The sequence below is a fragment of the Homo sapiens genome, chromosome 2, assembly GCF_000001405.40.
Source record: "Homo sapiens chromosome 2, GRCh38.p14 Primary Assembly".
Taxonomy (NCBI): domain Eukaryota; kingdom Metazoa; phylum Chordata; class Mammalia; order Primates; family Hominidae; genus Homo; species Homo sapiens.
Genome location: NC_000002.12, coordinates 105,740,907 through 105,755,819, shown reverse-complemented (window position 1 = coordinate 105,755,819; position 14,913 = coordinate 105,740,907). Strand labels below are relative to the sequence as shown.

The 14,913-nt window shown below is 47.2% G+C and overlaps 1 protein-coding gene across 7 annotated transcripts in view, besides 5 other annotated features; it reads right to left on the bottom strand.

The window, feature by feature from the left end:
• Positions 1-11,367, bottom strand: part of NCK2 (NCK adaptor protein 2) — a 149,820-nt gene extending 138,453 nt beyond the window's left edge. For 4 of the 7 annotated variants that reach the window (NM_003581.5, NM_001004722.4, XM_011511991.4 and 1 more), the window contains exon 1: positions 10,682-10,908. The gene's annotated coding sequence lies outside the window, so the exon portion shown is untranslated. Of the gene's footprint in view, positions 1-9,480; positions 10,215-10,681; positions 10,909-11,088 lie in introns of those variants that run through there. The other 3 variants (XM_017005103.2, XM_017005105.2, XM_006712797.4) reach the window with 3 other exon arrangements.
• Positions 9,598-9,647: an enhancer, noted in NCBI's record as "active region_16319". NCBI's record gives its function as "activates an Ori minimal core promoter by ATAC-STARR-seq in GM12878 lymphoblastoid cells {active_cell/tissue: GM12878}" and the evidence as "EXISTENCE:reporter gene assay evidence [ECO:0000049][PMID:35858748]".
• Positions 9,748-9,817: an enhancer, noted in NCBI's record as "active region_16318". NCBI's record gives its function as "activates an Ori minimal core promoter by ATAC-STARR-seq in GM12878 lymphoblastoid cells {active_cell/tissue: GM12878}" and the evidence as "EXISTENCE:reporter gene assay evidence [ECO:0000049][PMID:35858748]".
• Positions 10,188-10,577: a silencer, noted in NCBI's record as "silent region_11842". NCBI's record gives its function as "represses an Ori minimal core promoter by ATAC-STARR-seq in GM12878 lymphoblastoid cells {active_cell/tissue: GM12878}" and the evidence as "EXISTENCE:reporter gene assay evidence [ECO:0000049][PMID:35858748]".
• Positions 10,688-10,747: a silencer, noted in NCBI's record as "silent region_11841". NCBI's record gives its function as "represses an Ori minimal core promoter by ATAC-STARR-seq in GM12878 lymphoblastoid cells {active_cell/tissue: GM12878}" and the evidence as "EXISTENCE:reporter gene assay evidence [ECO:0000049][PMID:35858748]".
• Positions 10,938-11,257: a silencer, noted in NCBI's record as "silent region_11840". NCBI's record gives its function as "represses an Ori minimal core promoter by ATAC-STARR-seq in GM12878 lymphoblastoid cells {active_cell/tissue: GM12878}" and the evidence as "EXISTENCE:reporter gene assay evidence [ECO:0000049][PMID:35858748]".
• Positions 11,368-14,913: the final 3,546 nt, after the last annotated feature.

Sequence of the window (14,913 nt, the reverse complement as noted above, 5' to 3'; positions counted from 1 at the left end):
AAAGACAAATTTTCTTCTGTAGACAATCACCAACGTAAGGCTTCTGAGCTAAGAAAACAGATGTCTTTGATTAGGCAAAACTGCCCCAGCTGAGAACCACGAATTTATAGGCATGGGTTCGGGTCTCAATGAAGTCTCTCAAAATACTAACATTTAAAAAGGTATTCGTGTACCTGCACAAGTAAATTGTTTCTACTTCCCAATCTAGGTCTAATAACTAATACGATCTAAAATGAATGAGAAGCCACACGCATGAACGTGCAATGTGTTGAAAACATATTTTCTTCCTTACACATGGAACCCTCACCAACCGGAGGCACTCATGAAAGGAGAACCTACTTCTTATGGAAGACGGAATCGGCTGCACCCACTGGGATGGCTGAGGGATGAGGTGCTCGGCACAATCAAGTTAAGAAGCAACAAATTCAACACTAGACACCTAATCTATAGGTGATCAATCAACTGAACTTTAGTTCTACCCAGCAAAGCTTCAAAATGAAAATCACAACAGCACGATGTCTGACACCCTCCTCCTTTTTTAAAAAAGATGATAATGCCACCATTTCTTCACAGTTACCGCTGGGTCTTGTCTACCGAACCATGTAAAATAGACCTAGTAAGGAAACTACGAAAAGGGAACTGAAGCAAGACAGATGGCTTAATTTAAGGGAAGAGAACCTTCTAAATCCAAGCTAGGAAGCTCCTAAGAAGACAATAACAGAAGCACATAAAAGAAAAGTCATATGAGGGCAGTAACAAAGACAGATGGGAAACACACACACTATTAAGATAAATGGTGTTCAGGGCGGGAGAGACGGGGTGAGGGGAGTCACACACAAAAAAGTGAGGGGAGAACCAGAAGAATGGAAAGAAAGAATGGAAATGGCTGGAAAAAAAAAATCTGTTTCTATAACCATCTTGCTAGATTCTGCAACCAAGGTTGTTTCACTTTTTTTTAATCGTTTGATGAAAATTCACTCTTCACCTATATTAAATTTCCCAAAAACTGTCTCAAAATAACTCCCTGAATCCCTTGTTATTTCTTGGTCTCTTAAAAATATTCAAGTAGCTTGTGCTTTTTATGTCAATGTCTCCAAGCTGGCTTCCATCATGCAGAGCAGTTTAAAAAAAAAAAAAAAAAGTTGTTGGGGGAGCTGCTTTCTTACCAATGCAGCAGCTCCCCCCAACCTCCCACAGACACACACAAACAGGAATACAAGCTTTTAAAGTGATTGTCCTTAAAATGAAGACAGCTGATGAGAGGGAAAGCATGAAAGAGACAGCAACTGCTCTCCTCTCCTGTAGCCAGGCTCATAAGTGACATAATTAAAATATTTGTTGACTTGCAGACATCCTTAAACACGCAACCAAAATTCTTAAGATATTAAATGGGAGACATAACCGTTAAGGAAAATCGAAGGAGACATTGATGGACTTTGTCCTCTAAGATGGGCATGGGCGTCTTTCTAGGCATCTCCCTGTGATCTCACCACTTTCTAACTTACTTTTCACTTCTCACTTCCTGGCTGCCCCCACCATTGCTGGGAAATTAAGCATGTTGAAGTAAACAATTCTTTGCCACCACATATCCTGGAACCTGCTACGTGTAGAAGTGGCCACATGAGAGGTAGTGTGACTGCAAATCTAAACCTGTGAGTTGAAAGAAACTGCCCAAATTGCAGCCCCTCTGAAACTTGGAACATGCAGGAGCTTCTCCCAACAGAGACGCCAGACTCACCGTCCTATCTCAGTCCCATCTGCTCCAGGGAGGGCTGCTCAACACTCTGATGGCCCCAGTGGCCCTCCTAACACAAAAGGGTAGGTTCGAGAAGCTGGCACAGACAACTCACTTGGAAGAGCAGCCAGTGTCAGAGTTCCCATCAGGACCTGTAGCAGCAGTCTCCCAAGAATCTACATTTGGACTTGACCTGGCCTCTCTCACAACCTCAGAAGCAGATTTCAAAGCCACCTTGGAATTCTTCAAGACCTTCCCAGATGTCATAAAAGCACAAAGGAAAAGGATTTGGTATGTCCTGCTACAAGGTTTTCAGCAAGAACCTACCTGCCTACCTTCACTTCAACAACAGCAACTCATTAAGGAAAAACAGAAGCAGCAAAAATGGCCTTGTGCAAGCTATTCCAACAGCACAAAAGTCCGGGGGCCACTTGGAAGAGTGAGAAGACACACACTCCTGTTTTCTCAGCCCCCAGTGTGGAGGAGACAAGGGTGGGGACCCACCACACAGCTACTGATGAAGAGGCACATCACACAGGCATTTACAATGGCACCTGCATGACCACTTGAGCTAATACACTGTGACTACAACAGAAAATACTCCCCCTCATCCAGTGCCACTGCAGTTCCCTCCAGCAGCGGTTCTCCCCAGGGAATGCTGGTGTTTCCTGCAGAATTGGAGACTTGGGCAGGTGGAGGACCACCAGCCTACGGAACATAGCAAGGGGGCTGGGGGAGAGGAGCAGCCAGGCCAATGGTCCTCAGTGATGACCATCCAAGGCTTCCCCTCCTCCAAGGTACCAGTTATTCATTAGGCCCTTCCAAAGTCCAGGGCCTTCCCCAACCACTTGGCTGATAAGGCGTTCCCAGAATGAACCTGTATGCAAGCTACACTCCCTATCAATGATTTTCCATCAATGTTTCTCAAATCTTACACCATAATAAAAGTTTACAGTTCTGTTTTATGTATTTTCAGATACATCTTAATGAAGGGATGGTGGCTAGCTTGGTCAGAGTCTAGCTGTGGAACCTAAGACATGGCAGCCTCAGTGCCTCCCTTTCCTTAGCGATGAAGATACAAACAGAAAGTACCACACGTTCTGTTGGTGAGGACTCAATGAGTTATTACATGGAAAGTGCTTAGAACAGTGATTACAATGTGTGTGTGTGTGTCTGTGTCCGTGTGGGAGAGAAGCTAATGTTCACTTTAAAAATACATGATTTTAGCTTGTACTTAACATGTTATCAGAAATATGAATACTACAGATGACTGGATAAAGAAAATAGACTATTCAGCCATAAAAAAACAATGAAATCATATCTTTTGCAGCAACACAGATGGAACTGGAGGCCATTATCCAGACGGAACCAGAGACTTGAAGGGTGATGGGGTAGGAAGGGGTGGATGATGAGAGATTACTCAATGGGTACAATGTATGTTATTTGAGTGATGGATACAATAAAGGTCCTGAATTCACCCTTAGGCAATTTATGTAACAAAATAACACCTGTACCCCATCACTGTATACAATGTTGTTTTTTACCTTTCCTATGGTGCTGAACACATTTTTTAAAAGGAAATGTGTTGAATACTGATATACAAAAATGTTATTTTACACTGGTAACTTCTAGAATTCAAACCACATTTTAAGATATTTGTAAAATGAACAAGGTATTTTGATGATAGATATTAGTTTTAACTGAATCTGATTTTAGTGCTCTAAAACATCATGTGCTGAGTGTCTGAAGGATGACATTACTCCTCATATTTAAAAAGGTTACACCTTTCCCAGTAAAGCATAATAATAATGACCATTATAATTATTCTACATTGTTTCCACTTTGTCTCTTTAGCTATCTCAACTTTGGAAAACAGACAGCAAATGAGGCTTAAATCATGAAAAGTGTATAGACTCACACTCCGCAACAAGGCTGCCACTAGTCGCGTGTGGCCAAGGCCAATCAAAATGCAGCGAGAGGCAGCCAAGAGGTGCAGTAAACGTATATACTATATGCTGAATTTCAAAGCCCTCACGCAAATAAAAGAATATGAGTTATCTTATTAATTACATTTTATGTTGATTACACATAGAGTTTATATATATATTGGGCAAAATATAGGATGAAAATTAATAATACTTGTTTGGTTTTACATTTTTAATGTGGCTACCAGAACATTATGATTACATCTGGGGCTTGCATTTGTGGTTCACATTGTATTTCAAGGGGTCAGCACTGCTCTTGACAATCCATCAGTTCAAATGGCATTTGCAGGGAGACAGTCCATATTAAAACACACATACGCACCATTTTCTGCAGTTAGTCTCTTCTCCTCCCATGACAGAGAGCTGGGCCCATGCTCAGTTCCATGCAAAGCTGTAGTGGGGTAGCCCTGCCATTACTGCACAGGAGAACCCTGAACCAGTCCCAGTGGAGAGAGTCTTTAAAAACAAACTGATTATAAACTTAGTTTTGTTATCACAATTAGCAAACCATCAGTGGGTGGCCACAGATGACTTGTAGCTCAGCATGTGTGTATATGGGGAAGGGGATATTTAGATGCTGGGAGAAACAGAGAGGCAGCCCAGTCGTGCAAGCCCATGACTGCCATGCTGGGGACTTGAGTCACTGACCCAAGTACGATGGAGAGCCACCGTGTGCAGGTCATGGCCAGACCTGACTGTCAGGGTGCAGTCACCCTGGGATGGATTGGCAGGAATGGTTAAAAAGTGGTTTTGATGTCCAGGGGAAACAGAAAAAGGACAGCAGGGCTGAGATGTTAGATCTTTTGGAGGTAGAATCAATAGGGGTTGATAACTAGTTGGGAGCTGAGGGAGAATTCAAGGATAACCGAGTGAGTCGGTGATGGGGAATATAACTGAGAAGGCGGGCAGGTTGCAGGAGAAGCTGCAAATGGTTTGGGATGGTGGAAATGACCACTAAGAACTTGGATAATTCATATGAATGTGAATGAATGAGCAAACAAAGCATCAATGAACATACAGATCTGGAGCTAGAGGGAGGTCAGTCATGCAGGCATTGCCCCTGCCTTATGTCTGAACAAGGCAAAATGGCCTAGGTCAGAAACATTCCAGCCACGCTCAGGGTGCACCTCACCACCGTCATGCACATTCTGCTAAGGGATGTTTGCTCATGTGGCAAAGACTGCACGATCACAGAGATGGCAGGCTCAGAGGAGACGGCCTCTCCACCCTGGCTGCCATTGGCCCCACCTCTTGCTTTGCTCTCTTCATCCAGGGTTCAGAAAAAACTTTCCTTTGCATATCACTGATATTTTATCATGGTCTCAATTAAAGACAAACCAACCCCCAAATAAGTGTCTACCTACCTAAGTTGAAGAGAAGTTTCCATAAATGAAATCAAGTCAAGATTTTTCTCTCTCTTCAATCACTCTACTTAAAACCTTTCCAGCCTTTGGAAGGCCAGCACCAAGGCTTGTTCCCTGTTATGGGGTGCTACAACCAATATATAAAGAGCTGACGTTCCCTCCTTACTTGTGACTACTCTAACCATCCCTGGTAGGTGTCCCCAAATAAACAGAGATCCCAGATCTGGATGATGGGAGCACCAGGTCTTCCTAAAAGCATCAGCCCTGTTGTGGAACCTAGACAGACACACTGGGAGTGGCTGAATTGTCCACCCTAAATTCATATGGTAAAGCCCTAACCCCTAAGTGACTATATTTGGAGACAGGACGCTTCAGGAGGCAATTAAGGTTAAAAAAGGTCATAAATAAGGTTAAAAAAGGTCACCATAAGGGTGGGGCCCTCATCCAACAGGACAGATGTTCTTATAAGAGGAAGAAACACCAGACCTCTCTCTCAGTGCACTCACAGAAGGAAGGCTACGTGAGTGAGGACACAAGAAGACGAGCCAGGAAGAGACACTCACCAGAAACCAGCCCTGCCGGCCCCGGGGTCATGGACTTCCAGCCTCCAGAACTGTGAGAAAATAAATGTCTGCAGCTTTAGCCACCCATTCTGTTGTTGTTGTTTTGTGTGTGTGTGTGTGTGTGTGTGTGTGTGTTTGTTTGCTTTTGAGACAGGGTCTCACGCTGTCACCCAGGAGTGCAGTGGTGTGATCTTGGCTCACTGCAACCTCCGCCTCCTGGGTTCAAGCAATTCGCGTGACTCAGCCTCCCGAGTAGCTGGGATTACAGCCGTGAGCCACTGCGCCCGGCCTCTGTGTGTTATTCTCTTAAGGCAGCTGGAGCTGACTAATACACGCACTAAACAGGAATAAGCTTTCTGAACTTGAGGAGGCTTTCCAGGGTAACCCTGGCCCATAACCAGGATGTGGGGACAAGAGAGACTGACATTGCTCCTGCCGGCCTCCCCTCACACCGCTCAACCTCAGTCAACTCACATCCAGAATCTGCTCCACCAATATCTACACACAGCTGCGACACGGCAAAGGCAGATACCCAAGGACACTGTGTTCTGTAAACTGCCTCACAAAAAAACAACTCTACCCAGCAACACGTTGGTGTTCCTCATGTATGGCCTGCAGAAGGACTTAACCTAAATTCAAGCTCTGTCATCCCCAGTCTCCTACCTAGAAATGAGGGCCAGAACCAAGTGCACCATGTTATTCGACTATTAAATATGATGGTGTATGTGAAGAGGACTTTGCAAACAATGAATGAGCGTGCATGCATTAGTACATGTCATTCTCTCATCATGGCATTTTCGGTCTTCACTAACAATTTGGCAACGTAAGCACCCCAGCTTCCAAAATTGTCTCAAAAGAAGCAACTGCAATACTTAAAATTCTGAGTGCACTTGAAGCTTCTTCTCTTAAAAACATTACCAATACAACAGTAGAAAGAAGGGGTGACACAAATAACTAACTTACCAGGCCAGGATCACAAACGGTCTGCCCAGCGTTTTGAATTCAGGTTGATAGGAACAGACTAACCTACAAAAGTAAACCATTCAGCCAGCCCACCAGGTAATACAGTTGAGTATGGGGTTGGCTTTGTTTTTTTGTTGTTGTTGTTGCTGTTGTTGTTTTTAAATGTAGCTTCAGGACTACAAATGACTCACATGACAGAAAATTTGCCAAATAGAGAGGCCAACAGACCAAATTCTCCCATTGTCTGGACATCCTGAGGTCAAAGCCTTCCACAGTAGACAGAAGTTCTGAGATTTACAAGAATGCTGGAGGTCTCTTACCACTTGAATCTCAGTGGGAGGCTAGAGCCCCAATATTAACAGGCTGGGCACTCATTATTCACATATTCAATAAGTATTTGTTGCACACTCATTGTGTATAAGTGGCAAGACCAGTCTGCCCCCAAGCGGTTCAGAATCTAGTAAAGAAAAGATGAAGGCAAAAAAACCATAGGGCAGGGTATGGTGGCTCTGGCCTGTAATCCCAGTACTTTTGGAGGTCAAGGCAGGAGGCTCACTTGAGCCCAGGAGTTTGAGACCAGCCTTGGCAAAGCAGCAAGACCCTGTCTCTACAAAATAAAAATAAAAATAAAAATAAAAAAATTCACTGAGCATGGTGGTGCACACCCGTAGTCCCAGCTACTCGGAGGCTGAGGTGGGAAGATTGCCTGAGGTGGGAAGATTGCCTGAACCCAGAAGCTCGAGGATGCAGTGAGCTGTGATCATGCTACTGTACTCCAGCCTGGGTGACAGGGTGAAACCCTGCCTTAAAAAAAGAAAAAAAACAACTGCAGGAAAGAATGTCACAGATGACAAATCAGGGACACAAAGAAAGTGCTGTGGAAGTTTAAAGATGATGCCATCCCCTCTAGTTTGGAGTTGATAAGATGTGGGGAAGAAAAGAAGTAAGAGACGACCCTTGGGATGAGTAAGAACTCAGGACACGGAGGAGACTGAGCCAAGGAGTTGAGAGGGAACACAGAGGCTGGTCAGGGACAGTGACACCGTATGACATCACTGTGACACTGCTACCTCAATCAAAATAACTTTCATTTCCACAGTTTCAAGGACTAAGATTCTTGAGGTAGGAATGTATGTGCCAGTACACATGTGGATGTGTGTCACTGGGCAGAGGTAATACTTGCTAACGTTCATTTACCTTTAGAAATAAACATACTTTGGGAAATGTTCAAAGGAAAATGCAGGAAAAGAAAAGAGTCTAATTTTTTAATTGTGCTACTAAATGGCCTAAAGAAATGCAAAACTGTTTTTGCTTTAGCTGCACACTTTTGATAGCCCGTTAAAAGGCCGTCACGACCTTCTTCTGAGTTGCCTTAACTCAGGCATGGAACAAGATACACGAAATCACATTTTAGCTTAGGCCCTTTGAAAACGTGCCGTGAAGTATTTCCATCACTCATTTTAGGAAACAGAAACCATTTGGAAGTGCCACTCGCAAACCCTCTGGATGGGAAAACTAATTTCCTAAGCATCTGAAGTGAGCTGTAGGGAGTTTCCAGTTCATTTGTGAAAAAAGTTAGCTTACTTGTTTTTCCAAACATCACTCATCATCCTCCCCTGTAGTTCCAGCAAGCAATTCTGAGCTCTTCAGTCTTTAAGCCTCATTTTTAATGTCAGAGAATGATTTCCGCAAGCCCTGTCTCCCCCAGTGCACACGGCAAGCCAGTTTGAGCAGTTAGAAAAATGGGTGTCCCATAGAGCCTCGCAGCCTGGTCTATCCAGGGCAAACTAAGCTAGTGCAACTGATCAAGTAAAGGACTCCAGTGCATTCTGCGCCATTCCGGGAGTCTTAGGGTATTTTAAAAGGTTATCCAGTCTGTGCACATGCAAGGAAGATTTCCGGTGTATTTAATATGGATGGTAGTGCATTTCTCAAATATAGTACTGTGTACATAAGATCTGCTGTTTGTTGGAAAAGCTAAATAACCGAAAATGTAAATGACAAAGCCTGGGAATATGGCAGGGTCAAACAGAGCAAGGATGAAGAAGATTTAAGTATGCAGCGTGTCCTAAGCAAAACACAAAGCATGAAAACTGAGCACAGCCACCTGCAAGGCACCTTCAGCAAGCCCGACGGTTAACAGGGTCAGTTTCTCCACAAGTGGACAGAGGGGGTTATGCAGCAGCCAACTCTTCCTGATGGCAATTTGTGACCCAATTTCATCCAGTGTTTCATGACCAACCCCCCTGAATGTTTATGAAGCAGGAAAGAAGCTCAGAATCCAGGCGAGGCCTCCGGGACAGGAAGTGGGCCAGGCACCTCCACAGCTTCCTATGCCTAAAGTTCTCCATTTCAGCCTCAAGTAGCCGCCAGAAGACCACTAAGATTCCGCCACCTTCTCCAATCAAAACTACATCTAACCAACCTCCAGGGCAGAATATACTGAGGTAGGATTTTCCCTCGTGTTCACTTCTTCACAAGCAGGTTAACACTTGCTTCTCAGGAAACCCCTGTTCCAAACGTCAAAAAACCTCCATGTCTAGCCCAATCTCCAGGTGAAGTCAATTTCTTCTCCACGTGTCCGATGACTGCCATTCTCTTTACGTAAAACTCGCAAGGCTTGAATCCTGTTACTAATTCACCTGCTTATCTATGAAGCTTGCAAAGTGAATTGAGGGAGTGTTCACACGCACAGTTCCGTTTTGGTAAGTTAAAGCGGCCCAGGTTAATTTCATTTTCAGTCACTTTTGAGACTTGATAACTACATCTAAAACAGAGGCATGAAAAACACCCTGAATCACTTTCATTCCTACACAAAATCCCTTCCGAGAAGCGGGGACTGCGCCTGGGCCAGGAAGGGACTCCCCTACCTGTAGGTCCCAGCAAGCCACGCCCACCGGCCTCTCAGGGTTGTTTCTTTCTGGGTCGAGGGACGGAGCTGGCCCTTGCGATATTTTAGGCCCCCTCCTGCCCACACTGGGGCCTGCTCATCCCATTATGCAGATGCAAACTTGGCAGAAGCAGCCTTAAACCTGTTGGCAAAATAAACAAAGCCAAATAAAGAGGAATCTGCCAACCTGAATTGTGTGAAGTGGCCAAGGCCGACTCCACGCACGCTCGGCTTTGTCCCTGAAGCTGTTACAATACTAGTTTAAGTCAGGTGCCTGGGGTCCACCAGCCAATGACCCCTAGCATCCACCGCAGACCTTCACAGAGATCCCCATTGTCTACAAATTAAAGCGTTTTGCAAATTAAACCCCTCCACACAATGCCAAGCTAACTGTGCTCATAAGGCAGTTACCCTCCATGCCTTAAAACTCACATATCAAATTTTTCCAAAAGCACTCGGTGATTAAATCGCCCTGAAAAAAACCGAGAGAGCCGAGCGATTGTGAGAAACTTTGGTTCATTCAGGTGGCTGTTAGAGTCCTGTAAATCTGGGGCAGGGCGCAGAGCCTGAAGCCGGGCACAAAAGCTCCCTTCGCCGAAGCGAGGACCTCCTTTATGCAATGTGACAGCAGCTTTGTGCGCGAACATAAATAGTTGTAATAAACACGGTTAAGTTCTCCCGGCCGATCGCGGCCTCCCCCGTCCCTGCGCCGGGGCCCTGCGATCCGCGGCTATTCTTCCCCGGCACACGCGCCCTGGCGACCCTGGCCACCGCACGGTCCCACGCTAGCCCCGAGCTCCGTGCCGGCCGCCCGCCTGCAGGCCAGGCGCAGCCTGCGCACCCGGGGGTCTCCAGTCCCCGGGCCCCGCAGCCGGGCCCCCTGCCCTGATCCTCGCCCGCGCCCTTGGCTGGCGTCCCCGCCCCTGGGCCGGCCCCCGATGGTGGGGGTTAGGGATGGGAAGGCGGGCAGGAAGGTGCAGAGCCGGGAGGTGCCCGGCAGTCCGCGGTCGGGGGCGCCCAGGCCGCGGCAGGGCCGAGAGCACCGGAGGGGCGCGGAGGGGACCCGCTCTCCTGGCCCCTTCCCGGGCGCACCCCGGCCCGCGAGCCCCGCCGCGCTCCCAACTCCGCCCAACGGCCCCAAGTTTGTGGCCCCCGCCCCACGCCCGCCTAGCCGCGCTTACCTCGCCGTGGGCCGCCCGCGGAGCCGGAGGGCAGCGGCGCGGGTCCCGGGGCGGTGGCCGCGCTGCGCCCGCCCAGGCGCCGCTCTTTGTCTGCGCCGCTCCCTCCTCCCGCCGCCGGGCGGACGCTGCCGGCCCGGGCGGACCCTGCCGGCCCGGGCGCCGCGAGCCTCCCGGCCGCCAAGCCCTCCCCTCCGCCCGCCGCCCGCTCGGCCGCGCGGCTCCGGCCTGACGATCCCCGCGGCAGCGGCGGCGGCGGCGGCGGCGGCGGCGGCGACCCTCCCCCGGCGCGCAGCGCCCGCCTCCTCCGCGCTCTTCCTCCTCCTCCCGCGCTCCTCCCCGGCCGCGCCGTGACGCCGCCCAGGGGCCGGCCCAGGCCCGGGCGCGCGGGGCGGGGACCCGAGACCCACCTGGGGCGCCCCCCGTCGTCGCCAGGCTCCGCGCCCGGGTCCCGGTACGGGCGCCGGGATAGCGCGGGGCTGCGGGACGCTCCGCTCTGGAGGCGCAGCACGGGCCGGGCGCCGGGGGCAGGAAAGGGTCCCCACGCCCGAAATTGCGTGCGGGCGGTGGGGGGCAGGGTAGGTGGGTGGGGAGGAGAGTGAAAACACAGACGGCAACTTCCAGCCTGGGATGACTGCCGGGTGGGCTTTGCGTCCTCTTTTTTGTTTGTTCGTTGTTCTTATCACGAAGCTCTAGTTGCTGGGCAGCCGCCCCCCTCCCGGAAGCATTCCCACGGCACTCAGCTAAGCAGGCCTGTTGTCCATCAGAAAAGTGACTTAAATAAAAATGTCACTTCCTCCCTGTAATTGCTTGTGGGCATTTTTATTTATTTGCTTTGCATCTATTTACTTTCCCAACCAGACACATTTTTAGTCCATCATCCCTGTCCGAGGCACTTCCTAAAAGAAGAAGAAACTCGACCTCTGTTGCCTCCCAGGCATCCAGGCCAGCCCCAGCCTGTGGAATCCTGGTTGCACACCCGTGGGGGCAGAACCCGAAGAGGAGCTGCCCGAATGTGCCCCTAGAAGGAGTGTCGCTAATGATGGGACCGTTCAGCTCACCCAGCCTCGAGTTGTGGCTAGCCTATAAACAAACTTGGAAGATGAAAACCCAAGAGCAAGGGGAAAGACACAAGTTTCCCTTTCACAGACACATGCATCCGGATGTCTTTTCTCCTCCCCATATGGTTTCCCAAAGGAAATCCTAATATTCAAATGATTCTGATTTCCTGGCAGGATAGCCTGCATCCATGTTAATGAGATTCTTTCTTAGGCTCCTGGTCTCTGCTTACTATTAAGGCAATAATAATTTACCCAAGGTTACAAGGCTGTATTATTTGATTCACTCATCTCCTGCTTCCTTCCAGAAGGGAAGTACCCAAGGATAGGTAACTAGAGTCAGCGTAGCTTTGAAGTCAGACAGGTGAGTGTTTGACTGTTGACTTCCTGAACTGTGTAACGTTGCACAGGTGGTCCTCAGCCTTTCTAAAATCTGTCATATGGGGAGATAATATTTACTTACCTCCTATGTGAAGTACCCTGGCAGTAGGTAGCCCTCAATAGCTCAGTAAGTGGAAGGAAGCACAGTACACTGAGCAGGAATCAGGTACAAGCTCAGGGAATCAGAACAGCCTCATTTTTCCTTGTTTTGACCTTGTGAAAGAAGCTACTTCAGTTCATCCTTTTGTGCAAGTTTTGTGTTACTAATATCTAGCTTTACAATAAGAAAAGAAGAATTCTAGTCATCAGTCTGCCCAATTTTAGATTAATTTACTCAAAATAAGTATAGCAATATTGACCCAGTTTGTAGCTTGTTTGCTTTGTAAACTTTCACTGAATCGTGGTTCTTGCATGCCTCTTCTTTCTCTGATTCTTTAGAAGTCACCGATGTCATTCTCTATCTAAATCCAGTGGCCCTTTATCAATCTTTATCCTGTGGAGTTTTCTGAAATATGTGGCATTTCTGCTATTTCCTGAAACACCATCATCTTTTCATTCATCAAACACAGCCAGTTCTGATTCTCTTACCTTTCTGACCTGCCCATCTGCCTCCTCTAGAGAGGTTGTTGTCTTCCCACCCTGTAAAAGTGATATCCCCAAGGCAGATGGTGGCCCTTTGTTTTTATTCTGATACGCACCTTTTTTTTTTAAAGAGAGAGTTGATTGTTTTTTGTACACTCCCTGTCTAAACCTTCATTGATTAACCCCCAGACCTGTAGCCTTAGAGAGCTCCCCTGCTAATCTGCAGAGCTCCCCAGCTAATCTGCACCCCCTAAACATGGCGCAGCATCTCTTCTAGGTCACCATGTTCAAAATGAAACTCATCTGCTCCCCAGACCAGCTCCTCCTCCCATGGTTTCAGGCCTGGCCAAGAGTCTACCAGGCACCTCAGCTCCTGGGAGAAATCTCATTGTTATCTTGGCTTTTCCTTCCCTCTCTCCGAGTTCTCCCCAAGAAAAGCTGGGAGAGCGCTGAATGACACCAAGACCCCTTGCAGACTACCCCCATGGTTCTGAGTCCTGGTGATTCTTAAACATCTTTTCCACTGCACCTTTCTTTCCATTTCCATCACTGGCATCCTAACTTATACATCATTCTAGCAATAGTTATAATGTACCTTGATTGAATTCTTGACATATATCATCTCTAATCCACACACAATAGTATTATACCCATTTTACAGATGAAATCACTTGAACAGTGGATCAAAGAACTGGGGTCAGAGCATGTACCTGACTCCAAAACTCTTGTTCAATTCCCCACAACTACTGCCTTCCAACTGGTCTCCCATTACTTCCTTCTTAAATCCCTCAGACTCACACTGGACATCAATGTCATCCTAACCTTCCTGTAAATTGTTTCCATTTGTCCCTGGTTGTGCTCAAGAACTTCTCATGGCTCCCCATTGCCCACCACAGTCTCCTCAAAAGTTATCTGATGACTGAAGACTGAGCATTTTCCCCCAGAGAGGCTGGGGTATTTAGCCCTTAGAGGCCTGTGTTCGTTTCCTGGGGCTGCCTTAACAAATGACCCCAAACTAGGTGACAAAACAGAGGTTATTTTCTCAAAGTTCTGGAGTTCAGAAGTCTGATATCAAGACACCAGCCTCTCTCCAAAGTCTGTAGAGAACAATCCTTCCCTGCCTCTTCCAGCTTCTGGTGGCTGCAGACATTCCTTGGCTTGTGGCAGTGTCACTCCCACCTCTGCCTCTCTGTCTTCACACAACCTGGTTCCCTGTGTCCTTTCCCTTCTCTCTTTTTGTAAAGACAAGTATCATTGAATTTAGGGCTCACTCTAATCCAGCATGATGTCATCTCGACATCCTTATCTTACAACATCTGCAAAGACCTTTTTTCCAAATAAGGTCGCGTTCTCGGCTTCCAGGTGAACATATCTTTTGGGGCCAACATCCAACCCACTGCAAGGCTTAACATGGGGGAGACATTTCTTTGAAGCTTATGTTTTATCTAAAAATATATAGGTTTTTCTGCATTCTACTCCATTAATGTGTCCACATCTGTTTTACTGTCTTCAATCACAAAGTATTGAAAGCATAAAAAACATGGAGTGGAAGGAGGTGCAGTAAACTTTTGCCTAAAATCACATCAGCATTACATCTTATGATCTCTCTTCCAAAGGCCTCTCCAACTTAGCCCTGCCATACAATCTCCTTTTTACCTCTGTCCAGTATAAGCTGTTTGCTTCAGTCACTCAGCTCTGCCCACAGTGCCACATTGAGTCACACTAGTTTCAGCCTTCTGTGGTGTGAAGGCAGCTAGGAATTCCCTGTCCCCGTCCTTCTCTTTCAGAGCTCCATTCAAGGCCTTCTCTAACCCCTCCTTAGACTCACGGAAAACACAAAGCAAGGTTGAGGGTGTTGTCCAAGTCATACGTCAGAGGCTCAAAGCCTACCTTGGAGCCTGTGCCTTGGGGTCATTTCACCTCTCTGAGCCTCAGATATTAATAGTGCTCTTGCAAAGCGTTGTGAGAATTAAAGGAGATAATATAAACATGTCTCAACTGTGTGTTCAGCACATGGTAAACACTCATGTCTCCTTTCTCATGACCTTCTCTTGTAACCCTCAATTCAATTAAGCATATCTGGTGTAGTTCTATTTGTAAGGCATTATAAGATCCACTTCAGGATTCATTCATTTGGTGCAGACACCAAAGAACACCTGGATGTGCAAAGAGCAGATATAAGATTGCATTATTCAGAGAGGTTATAACGCAAAC